The sequence below is a fragment of the Homo sapiens genome, chromosome 4 (genome assembly GCF_000001405.40).
Source record: "Homo sapiens chromosome 4, GRCh38.p14 Primary Assembly".
Classification (NCBI taxonomy): Eukaryota; Metazoa; Chordata; class Mammalia; order Primates; family Hominidae; genus Homo; species Homo sapiens.
Window position 1 is genome coordinate 71,360,421 of NC_000004.12, and position 23,381 is coordinate 71,383,801.

At 38.1% G+C, this 23,381-nt stretch overlaps 1 protein-coding gene across 13 annotated transcripts in view, besides 2 other annotated features; it reads left to right on the plus strand.

Moving 5' to 3' along the window:
• Positions 1-23,381, plus strand: part of SLC4A4 (solute carrier family 4 member 4) — a 509,424-nt gene that overhangs the window by 297,761 nt on the left and 188,282 nt on the right. Inside the window, exons 1-2 of one of the 13 annotated variants that reach the window (XM_047416348.1) lie at positions 10,845-12,832; positions 18,299-18,368. The exons of 10 other annotated variants lie outside the window; for them this stretch is intronic. In XM_047416348.1, the coding sequence (XP_047272304.1) occupies positions 12,830-12,832; positions 18,299-18,368 (73 nt within the window). In that variant the 5' untranslated portion in view covers positions 10,845-12,829. Of the gene's footprint in view, positions 1-10,844; positions 12,833-17,548; positions 18,369-19,245; positions 20,803-23,381 lie in introns of those variants that run through there. 2 more of the 13 variants (XM_017008793.2, XM_011532390.3) reach the window with 2 other exon arrangements.
• Positions 8,234-8,735: an enhancer, noted in NCBI's record as "H3K27ac hESC enhancer chr4:72234371-72234872 (GRCh37/hg19 assembly coordinates)". NCBI's record gives its function as "activates a minimal SCP1, AML or CMV promoter by ChIP-STARR-seq in primed H9 embryonic stem cells {active_cell/tissue: H9 hESC(primed)}" and the evidence as "EXISTENCE:reporter gene assay evidence [ECO:0000049][PMID:30033119]".
• Positions 8,736-9,235: an enhancer, noted in NCBI's record as "H3K27ac hESC enhancer chr4:72234873-72235372 (GRCh37/hg19 assembly coordinates)". NCBI's record gives its function as "activates a minimal SCP1, AML or CMV promoter by ChIP-STARR-seq in primed H9 embryonic stem cells {active_cell/tissue: H9 hESC(primed)}" and the evidence as "EXISTENCE:reporter gene assay evidence [ECO:0000049][PMID:30033119]".

A 23,381-nucleotide genomic window follows, 5' to 3' on the forward strand; every position in this document is an offset into this window, starting at 1 on the left:
GTAAAGTGTCTATAACTGTTAAAATGAATAGCAGAAAAAAATTGAAGAACTTTTTTTCAGTAATCAAAAACTGTTATCTGATTTAGGAAAAGAGTCAGCCACATCACTGACAAATGGATGAAGTCTGACATATTCAATCTTCATTGTTTCACTTTTGTCTTATTGGTTAACATACATAATAATATTAATCAACAAATGTCACAAATATTTGTTGGATATTTGATGGATGTTGGAACTATACTCATTTGCCAGCTAGCATAACCATATGCTAGCTACTGATGCAAGAGTTTGGCCAAGATCAACTAAAGTATTGTATGAGAATCAACTAACTATATGCAATTTACAATACAATATTGTATATTTTATTATTATTTATATAATGTGTGCTACATATTGTTGTAGGACTTCTCCTTAGTTCAGTTAAAGACGGGGTTCTTGTCACACGACCACGAAAAATTAGGCTTGCACACAATTTGAAGAGTGAGAAAAATGGAATTTATTGAGCAAAAAGGAAAAAAAGGGAAACAGGGACTCTCAGCAGAGCGAGTCCTGGTAGTACAGGCTTCCTGCCTTGCAGATTGAATCCCAGGTACACCCAGGAGGAGGAGCGGCCCGGCTTCTCCACCCTGAGAACAGAGGGAAATTCCCAAGGCTCCACCCCAGTGCGCACTCCTCCCAGTGCACAGGCCGGTCAGAGTTTCTCCAGGAACCCCTCTATACTTGGTTGTGACAATATCCTTTATAACAGTAAAAATCAATGCATACACATACTCACGCACGCACACGTTCATGTATAAATATGGTTCTTTCCCCTGGTAACCGGTTTTCAAACATTTACTGGCACATCCACTACCAGCACACTACTGTCTTTATTCCTAAAGACTAACTCTCGTCTTTTAGCATCCTGGTATGGCTTGGGGTTCAAGACGATTTTATGTTTTTAAAAAGGAGCAAAAAACATTTTTTATCTGTAATAAATCAGGGAACAGTGAGGCAAGCTTTCAAAATGCTAATTATTGTGAAATTGCTACTTGTTTGAGACATGTGTAAATTCTATGGGCATGCCTGCCAGGTACTAAATTTTAGGCAAATGCTATCATTTCTCAGTAGATTAACTGAGGCATTTCTATAATGTTGCATGAAGAAATTAATGAGGTTTTAGGTAATTCTGGTGTTGGATTTTTCCTTACCTACTTTTTATTTATCACTATTGTTTTAGGTTGAACTATATGAAATTGCCAAAGGTAAAATTAAGTTGTCAGCAATTTCATATGATTCTACCTAATAATTTGGTCTGAGATACTTAGCTAATAATTCTGTATTATTTAGTGTATTATGAAAAAGTAATGTTTAAGCCTGGAAACATTGCTTGGTAGTATTTAAAAAATAAACATGTATTTAGTTTGCTTTTTATTAGAAAGTAAAAGTAAAGTTTTTTCTTAATTGGTATTCATTCAATAAATATTTAGTAAGATGTTTATGACAAGCATAACAACTGCATTTTAAAAAGTTGTGGTTTATAAGATGATCAGACTTTTTTTTAAATGTACCATTTAAATGAGTACTTTTTATATGTATTGTCTTATCCCAAAGCTTGCAAAAAATCATTGAGACCTGACTTTAAGGACCAAAACCAATGAGGAGCCTGAATTTGAGTATTCACCTTTTTCTACCTTTGTAGAAAGTTGGGTAAAGCCATCATCGACCTGTCCCTGATTTTTTCCTAACTTCTTCATTTTTTGTCCCCAGATTACCATAAAGATCAGTTCCTTGCCTTCCAAGGTCTGGGAGTATAGATGCCCTTTGCTGAGAATTGGCTTTAGTAATCTAATTGGATCTAGACTATGGATTTCATTTTCCCTTAATCTAATTTTACGACCTCACTTTGTATTAGTGAAAAGTTTCTCTTTTTTCAATAAAAAATTGGAAAGATAATTTAGTAGTTGCTCTTGATGTCTGTGAAAGAGAGATAATGAAAAGTAAGAAGAAATGTATAAAATGTTTAGAGTGGTAACTGGCACATAGTAATCACTCCACAAATGTTAGTAAATTTTATACAATATGTTTAAGCACAATTAGGGAAGAAAAATCTTATATTGAATAGGAGTGGTTTCTGGAATGATACTTGCTCTGTAGCTTACTATTTGGAAAGAAACTAGCAGATATAGTGCTGATTTATTCCCTCTGCCCTTTGTTAAGTGATACCAATAGTCTTTCATTAGCAATGGGAGGTGAGGAAGACCTTTCTCATCATAGCCCTCTTACGTAATAATTTGTTCCCTTCATTGGTTTTATCTTTTGCTAAATGGGTGTCAGGGGGGGTCCTAAATCACACTGGAAATCCACGACTTGGTAAAGTTGTCCCATCAGGGAGATAAGGAGCTGGAGACAGTGGCAGCTCCAAGGAGAGCGGCTGGCTCCTAGGCTTCTTGCTGCTTTCCCCATGCCTTCTCCTGGTGCCCGTGGTCTCCTCCATATTTGTAGGCACCCCGGGCCTGCTCCTGATAGAACCTCTGCATCTTATCTTCAATTTACCACCATTTTCCTCTTTTTTAATTCAAATATGAGAAATGTAATCCACTTGCTCCCATTATGGGTTGCCACTACTTACTCCTGAATCTGGACTCCTCTGTTTAAGGTTATCTGCCAGGTGGGATGCCACTTCCTAGCTGTCTCCCATATTGCTGGTTTGATATAAACACACACACCTTTAGGTATTTTTAAAAGCATAGTCTATTGCTGTTACCTACAGTAACAGATAGGTGGTTTGCAATGCAGAACAAACAATGGAAAGAAATCAATTTTTATGTTAATAGTAATTTTAGGCTCCAGTGAAATATAAGTGATATTAGTTGGGCTCTTGCTGCATTGGATCTGATTTGAGATTAGGCCCATTCAGACTATTTGGTTTGATATTAGATCCAGATGCCTTGACACTGGCTTATTTTGGATCTGGCTGGGACCACCGCCAGGTCTGGTAGCTTTCTCGTTCCCTTTAGAAATTCTTCACTTTTTGCCTGCACTTTGGATTCCAGCTTGCCCATTTGTCTCAGGCTGGGTTGTTCTGCTTTCCAGGCCATCCCCCCAACTGCCCCATACCCTTGAATTCAGACATGGTCCCTTAATCAATGTGTAAGGCAGATATTTCCCTAACCTGCTTCTGAAGCCGGCCATCATGCTTCTCTAGTTCTCAGATAGGTCAGTTGACATCTTGCAACTCTCAGGCCCACATCACCTGAAGGTTAGAATCCTCTTCCTATGTGCCTTTCTGCATACAATTAACTCTTTCCCAAAAGCAACAGCATACATCCACCTGTTTTGTTCAGGACTCTCATTTTCCGTTCATTTTCATAGCACAGATGAATGTCCTGACCAGAACCCAAATAACGATCAAGCTCTTTCCCACCTGAGAATAAATGAACCGATCTATGGAAAGTTGCTAGCAAAGTGCCTGAATGAAATCCTCTTCCTTAATAACAGTAATTATTATGGCTATTGTTATTATGGTATTTCTAACTCATTCATCAGGCACCATTCTTATTTTCTTATTTTCCTTTTCTTTCTCCAGGCAGATGACTGATTTTCCAAATGCATAATGTTCAGATCTTTAAATAAACAACACATTTTTCTCCAAGGGTCAATCTCTCTCAGTATTTGCTGACCTATTCCACTCTTTATAGCAATGAAGAGTTGGGCTTAGGAGATAAAACTCAAGTGGGTCTTTAGTTGTTTGACATTGAAGGCCTACTTTGTAATCTTCTTTTTAAAGACATGGGACCATCATTTCCAGAGGTTTCATTCAATTCTTTGGCAAATGTTTAGTAGCATTGTGGTTATGAGCAATTTACATAATCTCTTTGAGCCTCAGTTTTTATATCTGTAAAATAAGGGTAGTGATGTCTTATTCTGTGCATATAACCAGGAATAAATGAGATACCTTTGTGAAAATTATTAAATAAGCAGAATGTGAGATACCATTGTGCTTTGGTGCATTCATACTGCCATAACAAAATAGCTTAGATTGGGTAATTTAAAACAATAGAAATTTATTGCTCACAATTCTGGAGGCTGGCAAGTCCAAGATCTAGGTACCAGCAAATTTACTGACTGGTGAGAGCCCTTTCCTCATAGATGGTGCGTTCTATGGATCCTCGCAAGGTGGAAGGGGCAAACATTCCTTCAAGCCTTTCAGGAGAGCAGGAATCCCATTCCTGAGGGTGGAGCTCTCTTGACTTAATCACTTTACAAAGGCTTCACCTTTTAATACTATTGCATTGGAGATTAGGCTTCAACAGAAGAATTTTGGGGGGGATACAAACATTCAGATCCTAGCACACTGTAAGGAACAATTATTATCCAGAAATATTTTAGGGGGAAAATTTAGTGACTTTCAGCTTTAAAATTGAGGACAGAACTTCAATTCACTACCATTATTTTGCATTTTATTATTTTCTGTTTCTCTCCATTTTTTGCCTACTACTTCATTTATACGAAAATATTCTTGGAGTTTTATTTTTAAAATAGTGCTACTTTCATTATCTACTTTGCAGATGCCAAATAATACATAATGAGTTGTCACTCATGGGCTTTCTAGTATTTTTAAATTTAGAGTATAAAGATTGATCATTATGTCTAAGTAATGACAGTTTTAGCTATCAAGAAATAATATGTGTACAGCAAGATGTTACCATGTAATAAACATATTTTTAAATTTTACTAGTTGTCAGTCTGTTTTATACATCTAGGGTCTGTGAGAGAGTAAAAGAACTGAAATGATTCTCTTTGCGTTTATGCTACCACATGTGAGTGCTTTTTTCTTCATTCCCCTTTCCTGGAGAAGTCATGTATTTCAAGGACACTGAACTGGTTTGCTGCTGTCAACCCTGAGTAAATCTTCTTCCAAGGCTTGGTTTCCTTAATAGAGCCACGCTTGCAAAGTTTTTTGTATTCCCAAGCCCCATGTTGCTCTGGGAGCAATCGAAGTGTAGGTGCAGATCTGGGACCACATCCTGCTCCCTGTGAAAGAGATATAGGAGAGGGAAGGACAGGGAAAAGTAAGGAGAGAAGGGTAAGCAAGATAGAGACATAAAATATGAGCACCATGGGTTCATTTAAAGGAGGGGATAAATTAAGGTCTTCCAAGAATGACTAAGCATGCCTCATTCTACTCAACTCCTGTATCCATAGAAATACAAAGGACAAAAAGGAGATCTTTCTAGGTTTGTGAACCCAATTTCTTAAAAACCACACTTTGAATTTAAAGTAGGCCAGGATTTCTGTCTTTAGTGTTTTCCAACACTCTTCAAGATGTTGAACAAAGAAAATGTCATTCCATTAACTATATTAGTAGTAGAAATAAGAATAATGCCTCACATTATTATGGTAGCTCTAATGTATATATCATTTCAGATGAAAAACCTGAAAGTCAGAAATATAAATAACTTGTCTAAGCATAGTAAATGGAGGAACCCAGTGTGCTTAATAATCATATGCTAATTCAACCACAAGGGGATGAGCTTCCTCAATCATAATTTATTTCCCACACATCACCCGGTCCAGGTCTCATATGTAATAATGTGATGGTGAAGGGCTCTGGAGGCCATTCTACATCTAAGCAGGAAAACACACCAAACATGGCAGACAGATGATTGTCTTTATTGGCTTTCCAAATGGAGATTTCTAGGCAACATGTTTCATGTGTTTAGGTGAAATGCTGGTATAATCTTGGGTTAAATTTCTTGTCTAAATAGCAGTGCCGAGTGCATAGGAAGCATTCAATGACTATTTGAACATATGATGTTGCAATCCCAAAAGAGTCCTAAAACTTCACCATGAATAAAATTTATTTTCTTCTTAATAGGATTGTTTTAAAAAAAGCATTTTTTCTGGAGATATTGTGTGTGTGTGTGTGTGTGTGTGTGTGTGTGTGTGTGTGTATCTATTTGCTTGATTCAAAAAGAGACACCTTCACATGAACAGATTTAGGATTGATGGTTTTGGACAAGTTGATTCTCAAGGGGAATGTGGGTCATGTAAAACAATATTCCTCACAACATCTTTTTCTACAGTCTAAATATTGGATACCATCACTCAAAAGCCTTCGGAGCTATATCTTTCCTCATCAGATTGTGGTAATATAAACCAATTTCTACCTTGTTTATACCTGAAGTCAGGCAAAAGTGATGTAAAGAGAATATGTAAGATAATAGCAAGGCTAAGCTGTTTATTTTGTAGCTCAAGTGTAAAAGAGGTATGGTGAAAGCATTGTGTAGACAAGGCATACATAATATATCATTACCATGGTATAATTACAGAAAGTTCTGCTCTAGCTTTGGGAACGACTTCTCAAAATTTGATATTTGGAGTTAAATTTGTGAAGTGAAAAAAAGCAACATGAAAGGGTTACAGAGTTTATATCTCCTCCTGCACAGAAGTACACAGAGGGTCCAACAAATCAAAATGTAGACATTTGCCAATGTAAGTAATGGATGCTGTGCAAGTCTCAGCTTTCATGAGGGTAAGCTGCCAGATGGCTCCAGTCAGGCTTTGCTAAAACACAGGTGCCGAGTCTCTCTGGGCAGTTCCATTTTCATGCCTGTCTTTGGAGCCAGGTTCTTTGCTGGCGAGTGCCAGGCTTCATTCCACTGTCCCCTTGATGGTGAGGCTCTGCCTCAATGGAGGCTGTATACGCAAAAAGAAATTTCCAGCTTTAGTTCCCAACAATACACTGACAGGTTGAGGGGAGTAGAGGAGAGAGAAGCTGCTGGGGAACGTTAGTTATCAGCATGAGTTTTGGAGAAGCTGCTGACTTCCTCTACTCACGTTAGAAGCAAGCCATGGTATCAGTGATAAAATTTGGGTACCTACATACACATTAGAAGCTAAAGGAATATGAATTCTCATTCTAAAGAAATTGGAAGCTAAAGGACATGTCTTCTTTTGAAGAAGTTTCCTTTGTATTATCAGCTTCTGTCAGTTCTCACTGATCTGGCATTTCACTGGGTCCTTGCTTGGGCCTAGATAAATGTTTGCCAGTTGTTTAGCCTAATTCATTTAATTTAGCTAAGCCTGCAGGAATATTGGCTCTTTAAGCAGATCACTTAGTTGTCAAAAGAAATAGGAGGCAAAACTTGGCCAGTATGATAATATACATTTCTAAATGTCTCCCTCTTAACAAAAGCAATTTGGGAACAATCTCAACCCATTCATTTCTCTTTTTCATTTTTCTTAGTGCAATAAAAAGTTGCAAAGAACTTCAATTATGGGAAACAATTAAAAATTCAGATTGCAAAGAGAAGACATCAGATTTGCCTCAAACAGGTGCTGGCACAGATGGCCTGCTCACAAGTCCTGGCTTTATTTACAGCTTTTAAACACAGACAGATAAATTGACAAAAATGTTTCTCGATTTTATAATGTGCCGAATGCCCAAATTTGGCTATAAACTTATATTAATTTGTAAATGATTCACTTTAAACCTTGACCTCCCAAGTCATCAGTAGCCTTAAAAAGACCATTTGTCTCCCCTGTTGTTTGCATACTTATGTGAATAGATTATCTCATATTTGCTGTTGGTTGGATATGCCTTGTTTACTGCCTTGATCATTTAATGATGATCTTTATTAAGTCAAATTGCATGTAGTCTGATGGCTAGATATTTCCAACCTCGTTGTGATTCCTTAAAGGATAATTATGCCGTCTCTATTTTACTAGCCTTGGAGCATGACATTTAATAGGAATAGCAAAATAAATGACATGGAGCCCAAATGAAACTATCTTCAGGAAGAAGTTGATGGTGTTGTTTCCTCCAGGTGATAAAATGTATCTGGAGAAACCATACTGTATATGTAGCCTGCAACATTATTTAATCTTTGCTGTGGTCTAAGATTTGGCATAGGTGCACCAAAGGTTAAAATGTTAAAATTAAAAGTGAGTATTAAAGGGCACCAGAAAATGAGGACTAACATACATCCTTAAATTGGCTTATATTAAGGTATTAATTTATCCCTACCCCAGTCTTATGTTTCTGAAGGGCTGAAAAACAGAGGAAATTGAGATCCAGCTCTATATTCATCAAGGAAAATATTTCAGAAGTGAAAGTATGAAATGTTGCTTTCTCCATTTGTGCATAAGATCCATAGACCTATCTATTGAGTAGGTCATAAGAAAGCTGCTTACTAATACGACACCCTGCCCCCTGTGCTTTACAAAGCTGTGTGTAACTTCGCTCTGTGTGTGCTTATGTGGTTCATAATTATTAACAATCTTGATCTTACATCCTGAGATTAGTGTTTATTATGTAAATCTTTCTTCTTCTGAATATAATTTATGTTTTGTGTATTAGAACTGCAGGGTGGATCATCCATTGGTATTTGGGGAACTATAATGATTGAATGTAATTTTTTTAGACTTTTTCATTCTTTGTGGGGATTCATTTCATCTAAGGGTGCAGGGCATGGGAGGGAGTGTGTGTCTTTGTAATGTGTCATTGTTCTCCTTTAACCCGCTTGTGTGATTTGCTTTAGCATTTTTTTCTTCTTAATTAATGCTTCCATCCTCATCCTTGCTGTGGCTGCTCATGTGTCCTCCTCCTCCTCCTGTCTTCTGCTTCTGACACTAAAGTGCGCAGCCCGCTTGAGAACTCAGTGCCCTGCCTAGCAACCCGCACCTTGGATGATGACCCCCGAGTGCGGCGCACTCCCAGCGTGGGATGGCTAAGTAAGTCAATGGCTGGGGAAAGGGCAAGGAAGGTGGCGGTGGTCGGGAGAGGGAGGGCAGGAAGATCGGGCTCATGGTTACTGAGTGGAGGGAAACCTCAAGAATGCCTGAAAGTGTAAGATGTAAATATTCCTAAAGTCGTAATTGCTGACTTATTTCTTCTACTGTCAAAGAGTACAGTAATGAAGAACTTCCTGGGTGATCTGCTGTCCTGAATCCAAGTTGAGGACATTGTAAGGCAGTGGAAGGATTGTGAGACTAAGGGGTGGGGCTGGCACTGGCAGCCCTCCCTCCATGGGACACTTCTCTGAACCTCAGTTTCCTCATGGTGATGCTGAACCTTCTTACTTCAGAGGACTGGGAGGAAGGTCACTGGAGATGAGGTCTCTGAAGGTGGTTTGAAAGCATTCAAGTGCTAAGTAAGAGGAAGAGCTTACTAAGTTAATAATGTTAAATACCTCAAATACCTACTATATGCCAGAAAGACAGAATGGGCTATGGACAACAAAAAAGGGGAATAAGATAGAATCTTTACTTTTTAAAAATTTAGAGCTTGGTAAAGTGACAAGATTTATGTACCTAAAACCAAAAGAGAACATGCACAGGAAGCTACATGCACTTTCCCACAGGTTTCTAAACTGAGTATATGTGATATAATTTTTTTAAAGTAGAGTATTAAGAGATGAATAAGGTGATTCCCTGTCCTTGGGGGGTTTCCTTTCTAATGAAGGAGACAGGACATAAATAGATAACAATTGTATAAAATGATAAGTGAAATGAATGAAAATACATACACACACACACGATTGTGAGAACATACCCTTGGTCTGGGAGTGGCAGTAATAGAAAGGGCTTTTAGAGCAGGTGTTTTCTGAGCTAAATCTTAAAGGAAAAGTATGAGTTTGATATATCCATAAAATAGAAACTTAATAATTTTCCTTGAATAATAAAAGTTACAAATACTAAATACTTTATGTTATGCTATTTAATTTTCTGAAGAATCTTGTGAAGTGGCTATTGTTATTACCCACATTTGACAGATGAAGAAATTAGAAAGGTTAAGTAACTTGCCTAGATCACACAGGTCATAAGTGTGTAGGGCAGGACTTGAGCTTCATCATATGGTAGTTTCAACTATAATTTTATGGGTGATGCCTTACTGAAGTTAAAGTATAGGAAACTTACATGGTCAGATTGCCCAAAAGATCTGCTAATCCCACAATGAAGCTCTAACACTCACATGATTCTCTCTGCAAGAATCAAGCATTTCTTCTAATAAATTCTTTTACTACTTAATGATGCCTCTTGGGGAAAAAAATTTCAGGTAAAAAGTTTGGGCCTTGGAGTATAAAGTCAGGCAGGAATGGGTCTGAATCCTGGATCTACCACTCCTGGCTTCCTGACTTTGGGCAAATTACTCTTTTACCGTAAACCTGGGTGTTTCAACCAACTATAAAACTGAGTTAATCTTACCAACATAGGATTGTTGTGAGAATTAAATTAGAAATATCTAAAGTATCTAGTGTAGTGCTCAGCACTCAGTTAATCCAGCATTACTGCTGATAGCAAAGTTCTTATAGAAATTGCTCAAGAAATTCTAGCTGTTTTTATTTTTTTAAGTTTCATTTATTCCATGTCAGACATCCAGACATTGAAGTATTTTTGTCGATAAAGTGTCAAGGAAATTGACCAAAGTGTTCAGTTTGCGGATGATATGGAAATATGGCAGCTATTTGGAAATCAACTTGAGACCAAACCCTGGACCAATCCTTCTGAGAAACACATTTTAGTAATGAGGGAGGATTCTTCTCATTGTCTCTTTATGTGATGTAATCTCTCCCTAAATAATCAGCTTTGATGTATAATCACCTTCCCTAGGGCTTCTAATACTTACTGTATCCATTCAGTAAATGAAATAGACACCTAGTGAATAACTAAGGTGTGCAAAGTAGTGTTAAATACTGCTGGTTTTACCTACCTATTCAACCTCACTTTTGTCTCTTCTCAATATAAACTCTAATCAGCTTGTCTCTTTTCTTTTGTCCTATATCATGGAAAATCCTACCTCCATGTTTTTGTTGATAAACTCTACCCTTCCAGGAATGCCTTTTTTTTTTTTTTTTTTGGTACAGTCTTGCTCTGTTTCCCAGGCTAGAGTGCAGTGGCTTGATCTCGGCTTACTGCAACCTCTGCCTCCTGAGTTCAAGCAATTCTCCTGCCTCAGCCTCCCAAGTGGCTGGGATTACAGGCGCCCACCACCACTCCCAGCTAATTTTTGTATTTTTAGTAGAGACGGGTTTTCGCCATGTTGGCCAGGCTGGTTTCGAACTCCTGACCTCAGGTGATCCACCCGCCTCGGCCTCCCAAAGCTCTGGGATTACAGATGTAAGCCACCACACATGGCCCAGGAATGCCTTTTCCAGTATACCTATCCAAAACTATTCAGTAGGACCTGAATGAAGTTCCATCTCCTTTGTAAAATAGTTCTTATAAACACAGATCTTTTCAAGTCTTAAAATTCCATAACTCCTATTTTCTGTGCCTCACAATGGAAGATTTACCATATATTGTCTTACGTTGTTCTCTGATGTTTCATTGTCTTTATTTTTTCATTTCAACTATCTACATAAAAAAAAGCCTTCTCTAGGGTCTGTATCTCATGCTTTTGTGTCTCCTCTGGTGCAGGTACTTGAAACAAGGGTGTTGTACAATACACATTTGTTGACCCTTGATACTCCATCATTTCATTAAAAGCAACCAACAGCCCAGTTTTCACTAGGGCCCATCTTGGTCACCAGAAACCGTTAACCAAAAGTGAATATGGTTTACTTGTAAAAACTATTTCACCATATTTCTGCATATCCTGGTCTGATGAATTTGATTATCAATTTATTCTAATTGTTAACATGGACTTAAAAAACTGCCAGAATATTAGCTAAAAACAAATTTGTAACAAGGTTTTTTAAAGTTTATCTTTAAAGATTTTAGCAAGATATTTTCAGGCCTAATGTAACTAGAAGTTACTAACTACCTTTAAAAGCTTCATTTAAAGTTCCTTTTAAGGAGTAAGCTCTCATCATTTTTACATTGTGTGCTTCTTATCTTCATTGTCACCTGAGGCAGATGTGAGCCTAGAGCTCTTATCCATTTCAAATGCTGCCAAGGTATTGAATTAGAATTTGGAACAAAACCAAAAATGATTTCCTCTTACAGATCTCACCGGCAGGCCTGAAACCAGCCTGGGCTGGGGAAAACAAAGAGAAGCTACTTTTCAGGACAAGTTAATACCCACCTAAATGCCTTGCCATTATTAGAGCATAAGAACATACCCTATCTTGCTAGATCCAGAATGGCTTTTCACTCTTAGCGCTTATCTGTGAATTCAGTTTGACATCTAGCAGCCAGCATCATCTGAGCCCTTAGAAAACACTTGTGTCCTTTTGCATTTACTGGCAGTCGAAATCAGCTGCTTCAGACTCTCAGGTCTGAACTTCAAAGAAGAAAAGGAGGTTCAGAGTTTTTTTCTGTCATCTTATGCACATTCCTGGCATCTGCCTTCACCTTGCTTTGTATTTTACCTGTCTAGTTTGTCCATCTACTGGGCAGGGACCTGGTCCAGTTCAGTGTTTTGCTTTGCAAGTACTTACCCAGTGTTTAATGTTATTATTATCATCCCAAGTATTAGTAGTTGTAATACTGTTTTCTTTGTTTTTTTTTTTTATTTAATGAAACCACAGTGGTATAACTGTAGATTCTTGTTTCATCCTACAATCAGGCTACACAGTTAACATTAGAATTTAAATAACTGAATTGTAAGTGGACATTTTTTTGCTTTTAAAAATTTTTCTTTGAGCATTTCTGGAATTAAACAATTCAAAATCTTTTAACTTTTGGAGAGTTTACTGACTAAATTAAAATTACATAATTTTTCTCTGGCTCTAGGGTCTTCATAAAGTTTTACTTCTTTAGGAAAATGGTGAACCCAGAGAATTCACTTTAACAAGTTCAATTCAACAGCTGTTCACCAAGCTTCCACTCTTCTAGTTATATGGTCCAATCAGAGGGAAGGAGATAAGGGAAACTCACAAATAACAATCATTTGAGAGAAGCTATGGTAAGTGCCACCAGGAGGGTAGGGGGCAGACTGGTTTGTCTACAGTGTGTACAACAGTAGCATTTATTATACTCTCTGCAAATACTAATTAGAAGAATGAATGGTGGGGTATAAACAGAGAATTGGGAAAAGAATTCTTGGGAGAGACAGACTTTTCAATGGACCTTATATATTTCCGTAAATAGAGATTGTAGTAAGAGCAGGGTGAGACATTGAAAGATCATGCTAGGCTAGAGAAAAGTAAAAAAGCAACCATGTTGTTGAGAAAGTATAAATAAGAGTTTGTATGAGGTAGAGTGAGTTGATACATTAAATTAGCAGAAAGGGCATGGGAAGAAGATGTGTGGAGCTAGAGTGGCAAAATAATTGGGCCATTTTGTGGAAGGTCTATGAAAGTTTTTAGTACGGAGATAGCATGGTTAGAACTTTATGTTAGGGAAATTAACCTGTCAGTCATTCTTTGAGTGGGAATCAGTTAGGAGATGATTTCAGTAGACCAGTGCTGGAAAAAGGATTTAAGCTAGGATTGCGACTGTGGAAGTGGAAAGGAGGGGATAATGCAAGAAATGTTATAGGAATGGTGTTGTCTAGACTCAATAACTGACTGAATGTTAGGGGAGGAAGAGAAAGGAGTCCAGGATGCCTCAGGAGGTAGCAACCAGGAAGATCATAGGAAACCATTCATGGGCACAGGTGCTGGGTTTACAGAAGCATGACAGTTAAGATTTCTGCTCCCATCATACGTGTTGTGACCATCTTTGAAGATATGTTTCACTAGCAGATTTTTAGGTTACCCATCATGGGCCAAGACTCTTCTAGATTCCTGCTTTGTTATCACACTCTTAGCTTGGTGTTTTTTTCTCCTAAACTTTCTTTTGAGGTGGAGAACAACCACCACATCACAACTCTCTTTATTGCCCAGTGAATTTTGAGCATTCTTATCTTGATTCCAAGCATCTCACTTTCCATCCCTCTGTTTTTTTCAGATGCAGACTTGTTTTTGAATGGAAATATTATTTGGGTCACTTATTGTACCATTTCCACGTATATTTTTGGCCTTTAAAATCTAAAGCAATTCCAAGTACAACTTTAAAAATTCCTTCACTGTAGCTTTTCATAGTCACAATTTTCAAAAGATTGTAAGAAATAAAATCTTTCAGCAACCTGATGTCTATGTTCAGACTTTTTAGTTAACGTAAGACATTCAGAAATTGTATGTGGTATGCAAGAATGAGTTACAACATTCTTAAGATACAGGCAGTTCTAACCACTTTTTAATAAAGGAATTAGTTACTGTTTATCCTGAATTTATGAAAAACATATCATAAATTATTTCCTTGATATCTAATATTACATTTACAATGGACTAAAATATATTATGCTGACTTTAGACAACTATAAATAGAGAAAATCAAGATGAGAGAATAAAAACGTAGAAATTCTGTTATATTTCAGAATACTGGGGACTTGGAGGAGATTTCAAGAGGCACATATTTGGAAAAACGTTGGCAGTCTGCTAAAATTGTAAAACAGTTTTTTTTTTTTCCTAATAAGATTTTGGGATTTGTGAGGATTCAGACTTGTGCTTGACAAAATGGTGATATGTGTGATATATTTATAATCAGACTCTCCTGCTCATCACCAAAGCTGTCTGTTTTCCAAACCTTCCTGATCCTTACCATCTTTCTCCCTTCTTTCGGACTTGGAACCTTAGCGTCAACTTTGATTAATGCAACTTTGATTATACCTCCAGTATACCACTAAACCTGTTAAATGTTACCTCCATATTGTTGCTTGCCTCAGTCTCCTTTCCAGTCTGACTTTCCTTGCTTTTGTTCATGTCCTTATTTCCTTTTGCTTAGTCTGATCCAGTAGCTTGTTTTCTGGGGTCAGTGGTTATAGTTGGGCATATGGAAACGCATCTTACACTTTGTTCCAGTTGACCTTATCATACCTGGCTGATAAGTTACCTCCTCATGTGGAAGTGTTCAGTGGTACCTGAGAGGATCTCAGGCAACCTCCAAATGCTTGAGTCTGGCATTCAAGGCCTAACCCATAGTGAACTAAAGTTGATTAAGTAGTATTTCACACATCTTTCTGTATTTGCCTTTATCTATACTACATTTCAGCAGTCACTTCCCATTACTAGAATTTGCTGGACGCTTAGTGCCTTTATCCTGAATGATTTTTCCACTTGGAATATTCTTCTTCCTCCTGAAACTTTCTGTTAAAATCTTGACCATCCTTCAAGGCCCACATTCTCCTTGAAGGCTTCTTAACTTGAGGTGCTCTTTACTGACCTTGAACTCTGATCCTTTTCTGAGACTCCTCACATGACATTTATCTCATTCTACTTTGCACTATAATGTATGAGTACATGTCTTATTCCCTTTACTAGCTATCAATTTCTTAAGGGCAGGAATGTGTCTGATTCATTTAGGTATCCTTTATTGCAGGGATTGACAAACTGTGGCCTATGTACAAAATCCAGCTTGCCACCTGGTTTTGTAAATAAAGTTTTGTTGGAATAAAGCCATGCTCATTAGTTTATATTGTTGTCTATATAGCTGCTTTCATGCTACAATGACGGAGTAGTGGCGGAGATCATGTAGCCTACAAAACCTGAAATATTTACTACCTGTCATTAAAACATTTTCTGACCCTTATACTGTAGTCCTGATTCTCAAAGTAGGAACTGAAGAGCCCTAAGTGTCCCTGAGACCCTTTCAAAGGGATTGAAAGGTCCTAGGATTTTCATCATGTAATTCAACCAAAACTACATATATATACATATATACACGTATATATATATACATATACACGTATATATATACATATATACGTGTGTATATATATATACGTTTGTGTATATATATATACATACACATATATACCTGTATATATACACACACACACACACACACACACACACACACACACATATATATGTGTGTATATATATTTTTTGAGACGGAGTCTCGCTCTGTCACCCAGGCTGGAGTGCAGTGGCGCGATATCGGCTCACTGCAAGCTCTGCCTCTCGGGTTCACGCCATTCTCCTGCCTCAGCCTCCCAAGTAGCTGGGACTACGGGCACCCGCCACCATGCCTGGCTAATTTTTTTGTTATTTTTAGTAGAGACGGGGTTTCACTGTGTTAGCCAGGATGGTCTTGATCTCCTGACCTCGTGATCCACCCGCCTCAGCCTCCCATAGTGCTGGGATTACAGGCATAAGCCACTGCATCTGGCCTCCTAAAATATATTTTAACAGGTTGAACACAGAAGCAGACAAGAAAATCCAATTGTGTGTCATTTAATCATATATATATATATATTTAAAATATATATATGTTTAAAATATATATACATATATTTAAATGTATTTTATTATTTATTTTTGAGTTGGAGTCTCACTTACTCTGTCACCCAGGCTGGAGTGCAGTGGTGCGATCTGTCTCACTGCAACCTCCACTTCTTGGGTTCAAGCGATTCTCCTGCCTCAGTCTCCCAAGTAGCTGGGACTACATATGTGCGCCACCATGCCCAGCTAATTTTTGTGTTTTTAGTAGAGACGGGGTTTTGCCATGTTGCCGAGGCTGGTCTCGAACTCCTGGTGTCAAGTTATCCACCTGCCTCAGCCTCCCAAAGTCCTGGGATTACAGGCGTGAGCACCTCACCTGGCCTCATTTGGTTGTATATTAAAGAGATTTGTAAAAATGTGAAACAGTGCCTTTCTTTTTATGAAATTTTTTGTTTCTGAAAGTATAGTTGTTTTTCATAAGATATACGACTTATGTTAACACGCAATGGTTTATTGTTAAAGTGAATTAATGAATAAATATTTAAAAATTTTTAGTTTTAATTCCTAATGTAACACGTATTGATAGATATGACCCAAATAAACAGACCCTCTTAATATTTAATTGTGTAAAGGTGTTCTGAGACCAAAAAGTTTGATAACTGCTACTTCTTTGTGTCTGGCAGAATGCCTTATACATAGCAGTAAATCAATATATGCTGAATGAATGAATGAACAATAGAACCAGATGGTTCAAATCAGGAAATAAATGAAGTGTGGTGGTAATAATTGAAAGTATTGAAAGGGAAGGTTAAGAGTCATTGAGAAATGATATCTACTATGTGTTTGTGACTGTGATTCCTCTTTGTTCTCCCAGAGAACATTGATGAGGGATAGTGGAGTAGGAATGGTTTTGTTGGGGTGAGAGGAAGAGCAGGTCTTCCTGACTTTCTGTCTTTGCTGGTTTCATGACAAGTCATGAAGAATGGGCTAGATTTTGCTATAGTGTGAGCTAGCCCCAAACATCTGTGTGGCCTAACAACACAGAAGTTTCTTTCTTACTCATGCTACTATATGTGTAATGTGGATCTTCAGGGGTCTCTGCTCATCATTGTTAGTTAGGATCAGGCTAATAGAAGCCTTCTCTCATCTGTGTTTCCACAGTCACCGTAGCAGTAAGCAAGGGTCATGGTGACTCACAAGCTGCCTCGTAAAGTTCTGCACAGAAATAATACATCATGTTTGTGTATATTTCATTTGACATAGTGAGTCATGTATTGTATTAGTCCATTTTCATGGTGCTGATAAAGACATACCCAAAACTGGGAAGAAGAAGAGGTTTAATTAGACTTACAGTTTCATGTGGCTGGGAACGCCTCAGAATCATGGCGGGAGGTGAAAGGCACTTCTTATATGGTAAGAGAAAATGAGGAATAAGCAAAAGCAGAAACCCCTGATAAACCCATCAGATCTCGTAAGACTTATTCAGTATCAGGAGAATAGCACAGGAGAGACCAGTCCCCATGATTCAATTACCTCCCCCTGGGTACCTCCCACAACACATGGGAATTCTGGGAGATACAATTCAAGTTGAGATTTGGGTGGGGACACAGCCAAATCATACCATGTGTCCACATCTCACTTTGAAGAATGATTATGCTACCATGTGCCCTGAAGGTGGAGATTCAGAAATATTTGGTGGGCAGCACTAATGACTACCACCCAGTCACAAAAGGAATTATAACTTGACTTTGGAGTGTGCTCTTCTTGGCAAGGCTGAGAGCAATGTGAAGTTATGGAAGGCCACTGTGCAGAAAATCTCCTGCATACTCTTACAATGGAGGATGAGGGCTTTTCACATAATGAGGGAGGGTTGCCAGTTCAAGGTCTACTGAAGAACTGGTGAGACTGTGGTTTTACAGGAGACTTCTGAAGTATACTACATTAATTTGAAACTGATAGACAGTCTTTCATGCAAATATACAGTAAAGCACTCTTATTAGACCAAACAATGTCTGGATTTAATGATTGGAGACAGCTCAAGCGCTAAATACTTGAATTCGTTTGTCTGTGCACATGTGAGTGAGAGAGACAGAAGGAAAAGCAAATGCAGTATTCCAGCTACAGATATCAATTTCAAAGTTAATAATGAAATTTCTTTTTGGCAGCAAACTGTCGAATTTTACTTTGATGAAAATTGCTGGCAAAATCTTCAGAAACGAGGCTTTTCTTTCCATGGTAAGCTGAATATTTATTGTGTTTAGACTTGTCCTGGTAATTCAGATCTCATTTCTACTCCTCTTAATGCATCCTCCACCTCAATAGATCCTCATTCATCCCCTTGTCAGGCCAAAAAGTCCCTGTCATCTTAGACTTCTTCTTGCCCTTCACCCTCTGTACCCTTCAGTAACCATACTCTTCTGCCATTTTACTTCTGATTTATTCCCACCCTTCCTTGACTATTACAACTGCTCTAATTCAGGTTTTTATCATCATCTCTTGTGGGACCACTTGAATATCCTCTTGTTTTCCACGCCTTCACTCTGACTTCTTAAAATCCATCTTTCACAACTGCCAGAAGGATCTACGTTATGAACGCCACACATCACTCCCTCTGCTCAAAAACCTTTAGTGATGACTCTCTATCATTTTTAAACTCAGGTTCATGTTCCCTAGCCTGGCTAATACTTATAATGTCAAGCCTGAGTTCTCTAGCCTGTGGAATGCTTTTGAACTTGGTCTCTGCCTAACGCCCTAATCATCTCTTGCCATTCCCACTCTTGTACTACAAGCTCTTGTAATTTAGATTTCTATATACTTAGATCCCATGCCTTGCAATCTCTCTATCACTTATTCATGCTGTTCCAATTGCCCCCTCTTGATGTGACTAAATTTAACCTATCCCTAAAGCTCTTATGTCCCGCAGGAGACTTTTTTCATAACTCTCATCATCTCCTCCTCCTCCCATCGCACTGCACAAATAACTCTCCCTTATTTGTGCTCTCATAACCCCAACCCCCTTCCCCCATTGACTTATCATTATACAATAATACAAATATGTTTCCTTCATCATTGGCAAAGTATCTAAAGAGCTTGAGCAGAACCCATTCAGTTTTGTATTCTTGGTGCCAAACATAATGTCACACGCTTAGACAAACATTCTGAACAATAAGGTGGTTCCATTTTTGTTTTTGACTATTGGACAAAACAGAGTTTGGAGGGAACGATGACGAATTTCTCAAATTCATCTAGATTTCTTTATTTGTATGAATTAGTTTTTTTTTTCTGGTGGTGGTGATGGTGATATGTGGAGCTGTTACTGGGCCACAAATTGTGATTCCTCTTGCATAGATTGGGGCTTTTTTGAAGAAACTGATTTGTTCCTCATCCAGGGTCTAACATAGGGCCTGATACACAGACACTTCATAAATATTTGTTGACTAAATGGACACTTAACCTGAAAGGGAGAGAAAAGATGAGGTAACGTAAACCTAGAGCAGGAATGATTTTTCTAAATTGATCAGATTTTAGTCTTCATATCGCCCAAAAAACTGACCAGACACAGTGACATGAGGGAAGCTCTGCTGCTTTTCTGTGGCTGCTGATAGTAGTAGAATTTGAGAATTAGATTCTTTGGTTAGGGCCTTCGTTTCTTACTGTCTAGATCATTCTATCCATGACTGAGATATCACAAACAGGGCAACTATGACTACTCCAGCTATCATTTATTACACCAGTTCCCACAAAACATTTCTCTGAAGTAAGCATCACTCACTCCTTATTACAGATGAAGGAACTGAGGCTCAGTGAAGTTAAGTATTTATGGTAGTCATTAGGGCTATTCACCAATATTCCAGGTCTGTCTCTTTCTGGGCAGGTATGAGGACCCTACGTCTTCAACCCACTTGAAGTTAGGTGTGAGCTCATGACTTTCTTTGGCCAAGGAAATGTGAGCAGGAGTAATAGAGGTCATTTCCCAGGAAAGCTTTAAAGAGAATGGCTGCTCCATGCATCTGGGTCCTGGCCTGAGGACATAAATGCAGAACCAACCCCCAGCCAATCCACAATGGTTATTATCATGAGTAAGAAATAAATCACTGGTGTTTTAAGCCATGAGAATCAAAGATTGTTCTACTGTAATCTAGCCTATCTGACACGGAGTGTTTGAGGTCACTCAGTTAGTTGGGGGGAACAGGGTTTGAACTTGGGGGTTTAGACTCCAGATGGCACATTTCCTTGCTATTCCTCCCTCTGCTTCTTGTTCTCTCTACTCTCAGGTTTCCTTACTTCCAGCCACAGATGCTGCTCTTGTCTGCTCATAAGAAGTGTAGACACTGATGAGTCAGTATTTTACTGTTTCAAGTCAGAAAATGAAATGCCTGGTGTTTCTCAATGAAGGACAACAAGTCGGCATTCTGAAGTGTAATTTTCTGCAATGGTTCTGTTTTCTGAGACCCATTCTTATCAATCCCAGGAAACAGCTGGAGCACACTTACTATTATGGGCTGTGATCAGCTTTTGCCTCAGAAAGAGCCATTCACTGTGATGCAAGCAGTAACCATGGTTACAAATCGAAGTGCAGTCTTACTAGGTGAATGTAGCAGAGATTCAGCATCCTTTTCGAGGATGAAGAACAGGATCAATTCAACTATAATGACAAGCTTTTCCATCTGTAAATGTCTTGCTTTAAAAATCGATTCTTCTAGCACACATTTAAGCTAGGGTCTTGATTTTGGGAATTGCTGTAGGTTTCAAGGTTGAATTATTTCTCCATTTTCCTGAGAGCACCTTTGAATAATTTTTGTCTGAGTTTCTAGGGAAGTGTCTAGAGCCTGTAAGAAAGTGGCACTTCCTCTTACCCAGATAGTGGCTCAGGTTATATTTGTTATTATTATAATAATGACCAAGAGAGCTGTGACTGTTGTCTTCAGTAACAGTGATTATCGTAACCTCAGATTGGGAAGATTCCTTCTCCCTTTAGTGGCGATAATTTTATCATACCCAGTTATAGGGGTAGAGTTTTGGGGAGTATACTAATTCATTCAGATCATCAATTCATTCATTCATTTAAATATTTTTGAGTACTATTCTTTGCTCACTACTCAGCTAGGTGCTGGGAATTTACAATGATTAAGGCAGACACAGTCCCTATCTTAGAGAGCTACCAGTTAGACCTTTTTTTTTGGAGACACGTCTCGCTGTGTCACCCAGGCTGGAGTGAGGTGGTGTGATCTTGGCTCACTAGACTGTTTTTGTTTGTTTGTTTGTTTTTAACCAAGGAACAAGTGATGTTTATGATAACTGGACTAGTTTACTGGATAAAGTGGAGCTTATCCTGAACAAAGTGAGAAGTGCTTGTAGAGAGAGTGGTTCACATCTGAAGGAGGAGAATGAGAACGTAGAGACCGTCGAGGAGGTCGTTAGGTAGTGAGAGATCTAGACATGGCCATAGGAGTGTTGATTAAAGGAACTGGAGAAAAGGCAGCTTAGTTAGTTCATGAGAGCTCCCTCAATACAAATATTTAGAGGAAAGTAGACTTTGGGTGATCATTTTAGTGAAGAAGATATTTTATTGAGACTCCTGATGTTTTTGGTTAAGGAGTGAATGTAATTTTTATAGTTCATTGATTTTCCAAAAAAAAAAAATCAATGATGTGATCGAAGTTTTAGTTTTCCCAGTTTCAGGCTGGCGAAGGCCTGTTGGTGAGGATATAGTCCTCTTATATGAGGAAGCAGGGTTTTTTCTTCAAAGGACCTTTGTACACTAGTTTTATTGGGAGGGATGAGGACTGCAGGGACCAATGAGGGCCTTGTCATGAACATTCTAAGCTAAGCCTGGGAACATATGAAGACATACATTATTTCTAAGGTGACTAATAGAAGCTATACATATTTAAGTGAAAACTAGCTTTTTCTGAGCATCTGTGTACTTGGGTTGGCACTCTGAACACAATCCTCACGCTTTTTCTTGGTCTGTGCAAATGCTACTGCTTACCTGGGATATTGAAACAGTTTACCACATAAAAATGAGCTTTATTAAAATGAAATGGATCACTTCATTAAGTGGCAGGCTTCCTGTCACTCAAAGTATGTAAATGGATATTAGGAGACTGGCTATGTATAATGTTATAGGAGGGAAACTGCTTGGATGAGAAGTTGGTTAGATGAGTTCCAGTTGCCCTTTAACTCTGTGATTCTATGAGCCACATCTACAACATACCCAGTCTCCAGAGAACCCACCTTGTGGGGTATCTAAACTCATTGTTCCACTGTGTTGTGTTCCTGGTCCAGAGATAATGTACAACTGTGGGAAAGTTCTAGTAGTGCTGTACTGGGGGAATTTCTGAAGCCAAAGTTTTGATACTGATTCTGATATGAATTTCTTTCTCATTCTTTGCTTTTCTCTTTACCTTGGTTCAGCAGAAAATGGATTTTTTTAAATGCACCTTTGCCCACTGGCTTAAGCAATCTTTAACTAGTATAACTAGGCCCAGTGAAGCATTCCCACAGCTTTTTTTGCATGGTGATTCATATATTTTACCACTTGCTCTTTTTTTCCTACCGAATTCATTCTCCACACTGCTTTAGTAGTAAATATAGGAAAGTATATATTGCCTTCAAATCAGAATGACAGATACTAGAATGAGCTAAGACCATACTTTCCTCAAGAGAACATTAGAAATTACCATTAAAGAACTTTCTATATCCGTGATGTATATACATAAGTAAGCGAGGTACTTACTGCATTGATTTCTTAAGTAAATAATTACTAATGACCTATGCAGTAAGTGAGACATCTAACATTTTTCCTAGAAGCTCTTGTATTGGTTTGCCTAAAGTCATCACATACCCTCTGTATGATGAATAACAACTACATTTAGGTCTCACTCCTTATTTCTTAAGTCAGCTCAAGATTTCAACCCCCACCTCAGGATATGAATTAGAACTGCAACCTCTCAGTTCTCTGAACTCATTTTCTTAGACTAGAAAATTACAAATGGTGAGTATATGGGATCGCACCATGGCAAATGTAGTTTACTGTTTCGTAAGGATCTTGAGTTCAGAGGGATTTATGCACATGATTACAGGGCAAAGGGAAAGAGAGGAAAACTAACATCTATTGAACAGCTGAGCAAGACACTTCCACATGTGTTTGCTTGCTTAATCCTTATGACATCCTGATAAGATATTTTTATTTCCATTTTACTACCTTTTCTTATTTTGTCTTTTTTCATGATATTAATAACATAT